The 7,047-nt window shown below is 44.6% G+C and overlaps 2 annotated features.

The window, feature by feature from the left end:
• Positions 1,507 to 2,038: an enhancer, noted in NCBI's record as "OCT4-NANOG-H3K27ac-H3K4me1 hESC enhancer chr20:38897989-38898520 (GRCh37/hg19 assembly coordinates)". NCBI's record gives its function as "activates a minimal SCP1, AML or CMV promoter by ChIP-STARR-seq in naive H9 embryonic stem cells {active_cell/tissue: H9 hESC(naive)}" and the evidence as "EXISTENCE:reporter gene assay evidence [ECO:0000049][PMID:30033119]".
• Positions 2,039 to 2,570: an enhancer, noted in NCBI's record as "OCT4-NANOG-H3K27ac-H3K4me1 hESC enhancer chr20:38897457-38897988 (GRCh37/hg19 assembly coordinates)". NCBI's record gives its function as "activates a minimal SCP1, AML or CMV promoter by ChIP-STARR-seq in naive and primed H9 embryonic stem cells {active_cell/tissue: H9 hESC(naive and primed)}" and the evidence as "EXISTENCE:reporter gene assay evidence [ECO:0000049][PMID:30033119]".

Raw genomic sequence — 7,047 nt, 5'->3', positions numbered from 1 at the left:
GAATCCTGGGCTGCAGGCATTCCTTGGCCTGGTGGTCAGATTTCTGGCACTTGTAGCAATTTCCTGGGGGAGGAGGTTCTGGAGGAACGCCTGGCCACTGCAGTTCAGGCGTTTGGAAGTTGTTGTGTGCTGGAGATGTGGCTGGGGTTTGTCTCACAGTGGAAGCAAGGAATTGCAACTTTTTTTTTTGTTATTGTACACCTTGAAGATGGGTTAATTAAGTCCTGTTGTGGGGTTTGAGGGCCAGATTCTAATTTTTGGAGTTTTATTTAATGTCGGGAGCAGATTGGGTAATAAAATGTATATTGAGAATAAAATGGCCTTTTGACCTTTTAGGGTCTAGGGCTGTAAAGTGTCTCAGGGTTGCTGCCGAACGAGCCATGAACTGGGCTGGGTTTTTATATTTGATAAAAAAGAGCCTAAAGGCTTCTGATTTGGGATAAAGAAAAAGGAGCATTAACCTTGACTATGCCTTTGGCTCCAGCCACCTTTTTAAGAGTAAATTGCTGGGCAGGTGGGGGAGGGCTAGTCACACAACGAAACTGTAAGCTGGACCAGGTGTGAGGAGGGGAGGCGATAAAAAGATTACAGGGTGGAGGAGCAGAGGCCAAGGAAGAATTGGGACCTAGCTTGGCCTGGCGAGGAGGGGAGAGGTCAGATGGGTCTGTAGAAAAGGAAGATTAGAAAGACTCAGCAACGCTTGGGGTTGGGACTGAGGGGACAGGAGGGAGGGAAAGAAGGAAGATTTGGGACGAGTTGCACTGGGCACAGAGACTAGGAAGGGACTGATGTGTAAAAGAATGCCTGGATGTCAGGCACCTCAGACCATTTGCCCATTTTACTACAAGAATTATTTAGATCTTGTAGGATGGAAAAATTGAAAGTGCCATTTTCCAGCTATTTGGAACTACTGTCGAGTTTGTATTGGGGTCAAGCGGCATTGCAGAAGAAAATAAGATGCTTAGATTTTAGGTCAGGTGAGAGTTGAAGAGGTTTTAAGTTCTTAAGAATATAGGCTAAGGGAGAAGAAGGAGGAATGGAAGGTGGAAACTTGCCCATAGTGAAGGAGGCAAGCCCAGAGAAAAGAGTAGAGACACGGAGAAGCGGTAGGGGTTTCTTGCCCTCCAGAAAAGCAGAGAAAGGGTTGGGGCATGGAAATAAGGAATTAGGGCACAGAGATAAGAGGTTGGGGTGCAGAAATAAGGGATTGGGGGTTCTTGCCCCCTAGAAACACGGGACTTGCCACTAAGGGTGAAGGAGAAGGGGTTGAGGGGTACTTGCCCCTCCCCCAGAAAAGCGGGACTTGCCATTAAGGGTGAAGGAGAAGGGGTTGAGGGGTACTTGTCCCTCCCCCAGAAAAGCAGAGAAGGGGTAGAGACAAGGAGAGAAGGGGTTGGGGTACTTGCCCCTTCCCCAGAAAAGCGGGACTTGCCGCTAAGGGTGAAGGACCAAGGCAAGCATCCCTGCGTGGTCTGACACCTTTGAAACGTGGGTGAATAATCAGAGAGGTGCCCCTGCAATGATTAAACACCAAGGGAAGGCTGCCTTCCCAGTCCGTGACCGACGCCAGAGTTTTGGGTCCACGGATAAAATGTGTCTCCTTTGTCTCTACCAGAAAATGAAAGGAATTGAAATTAAGAGAAGGGAGAGATTGAAGTGTGGCACCAAGATTGAAAGGAGAAAGAGGTTGAGGGATAGTGAGGGAAGCTGGAGAAGAGAGTAAAAAGAGGCCGCTTACCGGATTTGAAATTGGTGAGATGTTTCTTGGGCTGGTCGGTCTGAGGACCTGAGGTCATAGGTGGATCTTTTTCACAGAGCAAAGAGCAGGACAGGGGATTGATCTCCCAAGGGAGGTCCCCCGATCCCAGTCACGGCACCAAATTTCATGCACGTCCGTGTGAAGAGACCACCAAACAGGCTTTGTGTGAGCAACGTGGCTGTTTATTTCATCTGGGTGCAGGTGGGCTGAGTCCGAAAAGAGAGTCAGCGAAGGGAGATAAGGGTGGGGACATTTTATAGGATTTGGGTAGGTAAAGGAAAATTACAGTCAAAGGGGGTTTGTTCTCTGGCGGGCAGGAGTGGGGGTCACAAGGTGCTCAGTGGGGGTGTTTTTGAGCCAGGATGAGCCAGGAAAAGGACTTTCACAAGATAATGTCATCACTTAAGGCAAGGACCGGCCATTTACACTTCTTTTGTGGTGGAATGTCATCAGTTAAGGTGGGGCAGGGCATATTCACTTCTTTTGTGATTCTTTAGTTACTTCAGGCCATCTGGTCATATACCTGGAAGTCACAGGGGATGCGATGGCTTGGCTTGGGCTCAGAGGACTGACAGAGGATAAAAATAGTCTTGTTTTCAAAATAGAGAATTCTAGAATATTAGTAGAAATAGAAAAGGGTTGGCCTGCCTTCTAAGTACTGTTCTCAGAAGAGTAAAGATAACTCTCCTTGCTTCCTCATTTCCCCACCCCCGTGGTCTCCAGGAGCCATCCCACTCCTTGGGCCTCAGGGACAAATCTCCATACGCAAGCTTGTCCTGGAGATGAGTCCAAGGGAAGGTTCACTTACCTGTCTACTGTCAGCTCCTCCCACTTCTAGTTCATCCTACTCCCACACCTAGTGAGTTCATGTTTCAGATCTCAGTTCAGATGTCACTTTTTTAGGGAAGCTCTCTGGGGCCTCCCTGTCTATCAAACCCTTGTCTTGACAGAAGAGTACTATGTTTCCTGTCCCTTTCACAGTAACCATCACAGTTGTAAATGTGTGTTTATTTGTGGGAGCATTTGGTTAATGTCTGTCTCCATAGCTGGAATGTAAACTCCTCCAGTGCCGGGACTCCACATCTGATTGCATTCAGCCCTGCATCTCCAGTACCAATCCCATTACTAGGAATGTAGTTTACACTAAATAAATATTTGCTGATTGAATAAGCAACTCTTCTGTATTGGATTACACACATAGGAGAGGTGACTTCCCAAATCTATTCTAGTTCAAATGTCTAGTATGACAATCTGTTTCCATACTGTAGTAGGTGCTGTTGGTGCCCTGCTCAGCTGCCCTTTGCTGGGCTGGTGCATCCATGTCTCATCAGTGCTAGATGTTCTTGACTCACAGCTGGACCCTTCAGAGAATTACTTGCTATCAGGAGCTGTGCCACCCAGAATGGCCTGGGAAGCTGCATTCTCTCCAGAAGTCTGTCAGTAGCCAATGGCCAACTAACACAAGGGCAGAAAAGTTTGGCACCCTTGCCTCAAGGTGGGAACTCTGTGGTTCCACGCAGGCTCCAGAGCTGCCTGTGGAATGAGGCTGAGACTAGACTTCAGCTGCACCCTCACCTTTGCCCGGTTTCTTCCTCTGCCCTATAAGGCTTCCCTCACACACTTGCAAGTTTTATTTGGGGGCACTCCTTCAATAGCTCAATTACATATGAATCTCAGCTTAGGAAATGCTTCTAGGAGACCTAAACTAAGACACATTCAATATGCATAACCAAAAGGATACTGGTAATTTTTTTTTTTTTTTTTTTTAGATGGAGTCTCTCTCTGTCGCCCAGGCTGGAGTGCAGTGGTGCCACCTCAGCTCGCTGCAACCTCTGCCTCCTGGGTTCCAGTGATTCTTTTGCCTCAGCCTCCCAAGTAGCTGGGATTACAGGCATGCGCCACTACGCTCGGCTAATTTTTGTATTTTTAGTAGAGACGGGGTTTTGCCATGTTGGCCAGGCTGGTCTCAAACTCCTGACCTCAAGTGATCCACCTGCCCCGGCCTCCCAAAGCGCTGGGATTACAGGCAGGAGCCACCACGCCTGGTTGATACTGATAAATTGATTCTCTGGAAGAAAATGAAAACAACAATAAACAACAATTCTGATTTGTAGCATTTATCAATTATACTACACAACTATAGTAGTAGTGTAAATAACTCCTACTACAGCCATTTTCAAGCTGCCAATGTGATTGCTGCTGAACACAAAGTTGAAAAGACATGCATGCAATTGGCTCATGGGAGTCAGTAAGAGCTATGTTTAAAATATCATAACTCATGATATACATAAATTAAAAGTTGTACACATAATATTAATATTATGATTAGTACCATTTTGATGGTAACTATGTGCTAGGCATTTTGATAAATACTTTATTTTTACCTCTGTCCTAATCTCCAAGAAGCTTATACTATTCTTACCCCCATTTTATAGAGGTAGAAACTGTGGGTCATAGAGTTACATTATTTACCTAAGGTCACACTACTAGTAAATGGTGTCGCTGAGATTCAGCTCTGACTCCAGATTCTTAATGCATGACCAACTTTAGTGTCACCTACTAAAAGGCAATAACTGCTCCCTTCCTGAGTATAGAATTTTACATTTGGAATAGTGACATTTTTCTGTACAGCAATTTTCATTCCTTAGCATATTTGATTATTTCAATAGAAACTATGCAGGGCAAACATGAATATTTTAAAGATGAGGACCTTGAGACTCAGTGATTTGTTCAAAGGTTCTAAGGCTCAGAACTAGAGTTGCACACCTGGGCTTCTCACGGTCCAGGTGTCTTTCCAGCAGACCTTAGTCTTTCTTCCTCAGAACCTCAACTCTCAATGACAGCTTCATTAACCTCTGGATGTAAAATTTAGCCAATCCTTATCCAGAGAAGGCCAGCATTCAAGGTATTGAATGAAACATCATTCATCAATTCTTCAGCGGATTGGGCACCTACTGTGTGCCAACCAAGGTTACGTGTAATTTCAAGTAAGGAAGGTATGCCCAGGACTCCTAAGGAACTGGAGGTTAAACCAATTGAGTTTAGTTTAGCATATTGTCACGTACTTGCCACACCTACCAGGGAGTTTCTGAGACTTTGTTTTGGAGTCACAGATGCAAAGCGTTAATGCAGGACGTGGTACATGACTGGATAGTGATAGATCTAACGAGGCCCCTTCTCCTTCCTTGGTCCAAAACTGTTAACAGATCTTGCTGGAAAATGCCAGTGCATTTATGTTCTGATGGAATGGTGCACATAGGACATCCATGCCTGGAGGTTTTTCATTCACCCCTCAACGCCATCTTGTGGGCAATGAAAACTTTGCCAGGGTTTGGGGAAGCCTGCCCAGCCATTGTGTGATTTGACTTAAAAATCAGAATTGGATAATCTATACAGCTGTAGAAGCAAATCTACAGATCCTCTCAATGTGTAAAATTTGGATTTAGGAATTCAGAATAATGGAGTCTACTCCTGGCACCATTAATGATATTGATGTATGACAAGGTGCCTGACTTTGGTTTCAGTTCTCAGCAGAGGCTGTAGAATCAGGTAGATCTAGGCTGGACTTTTGACTTTGTAACTGTGTCCTTGGCCAAGTCACTTGACCTCTCTCCATCAAGTTTCCACATTTGAGAAGTGGAAATAAAGTCATGCTTATTTTACTTCCTTCTTGAGAAAATACAATGAGATGATTCATGATTAGTCCTTTACTCTGCATTTCAAATGCGTTCATCCACGGTAGATGTTATTGATATTATTGTGGCCATTATAATTGCTTTCAATACAGACTACTTTTTTTTGCCTTTTTGCCTCTTAGAATTGCTATCTTGATGGTTATAGACTTGAAACTCTAAATCAAATACTAAGAATTATTAACTGATGTACTTTCTTCCCTTTCTGTTGGAGAAAACCTCAGGACAAGAATCATCTCTTTCCAAGTCTGGAACAGTGGATGAATTAGGTGGTTGTTAAGTAGAACAGAGAGCAACTTACTGGGTATTTAGCACCTGTAAGTCAATAGGCGTTGAGCAGGAGGGTCTGATGATTCCCCTGAAACACACACCTATTGGGGAGTTTTTTGCATATAAAGACATAAGGAGATTATTAAGGAATAGATTAACATTTCTCTCCATTTGATAGTCTGTTGAAAGCTACCTGTCCTTTCCTCTGGGGGCCCGAAAGAACTATATAGGGTTTAACATGCTATTTTACTTATAATTTCTAGTTAAATTGAGCCGTAGACTTCATTATTAAAATCTGTAAATTCAGCTGGCATTTATCCAACACCTGCAGTGTGCCTAGCCTTGTGCAGTGGTGGAATCAGACCAAGCTCCTGCTCTCAAAACATGGGTGCCGTGCTAAAATGGCAATCCAGAACTTGACAGACTGCACACCAGAACTGATCAGGGCTACCAAGAAGGGGCCTTTTGAAGAGTTATGGGCTGAACATCAAGGGACACAGTGCTCTCACTGCTACTCCGTGGCTATGCTGAGTGGAGTTGCCATCCCGTGGCCAGCCTCAATTTCATATTGGTTGTGAGTCTGAAACATCCGGATAACTGTGAGCTCAACCTTTCTTCCCATCTCAGCTTGCTCTGGATTTATCAGAGAGGTAGGGAGATAGGATAGCTGGACTTTGCAGAAATTCTTTAATGAGCCAAGCACTCTGGCAGACATATATAATGTTACAGTGTAGTGGGCATTATTATAGTTACTCTACTGATGAAAAAAATGAGGGCTCAGAGAGTTTAAAAATTTACTCAGTTACACGGAGGATGACAGTGTGTCTGACCCCAAATTCCTAGCTTTTTTCAGTTACACAGGCTGATGGCTGGTAATACAGAAAAAAAAATCTCACTGTGGATACAGGTTGAAGAAGATTAATCAATGCCTCTGCCCTCAGATAACTCATAGTCAAGTAAAGAGGTTCTTAACCTTTTAGGGGGAAGGGCAGGGTGTGGGGATGTTGTGTAACTTTGAGACGCTCCCTCGAAAAATGCTGAAAATCTTGTGCACTACTTCAGAGGAATGTTTGTACACCCTCCCTGTCCCATCCCAATCCCCAGCAGAGACTCTGAGCTCAAAACTCCCTGGAAGCAGACAGTAATTCCAAGGTGCCCTGCCCTGTGGAGGAAATGCTGCTAAGTATTCCACTGGAAACTGCATGGACAGAAATAAGTGCTGGTTGTGGAAATCTCCCCTTCCACGCTGGCTGCTGCTGCAGAGCTTGGAAGGAAGATGTACACGACAGTAATTATACTAAAGGACTCAGGCCATTCAGTCAGACG

Source organism: Homo sapiens, chromosome 20, assembly GCF_000001405.40.
Source record: "Homo sapiens chromosome 20, GRCh38.p14 Primary Assembly".
NCBI classification, from domain to species: domain Eukaryota; kingdom Metazoa; phylum Chordata; class Mammalia; order Primates; family Hominidae; genus Homo; species Homo sapiens.
The sequence above is the reverse complement of the archived record's forward strand: the minus strand, read 5'-3'. Positions and strand labels throughout refer to the sequence as shown.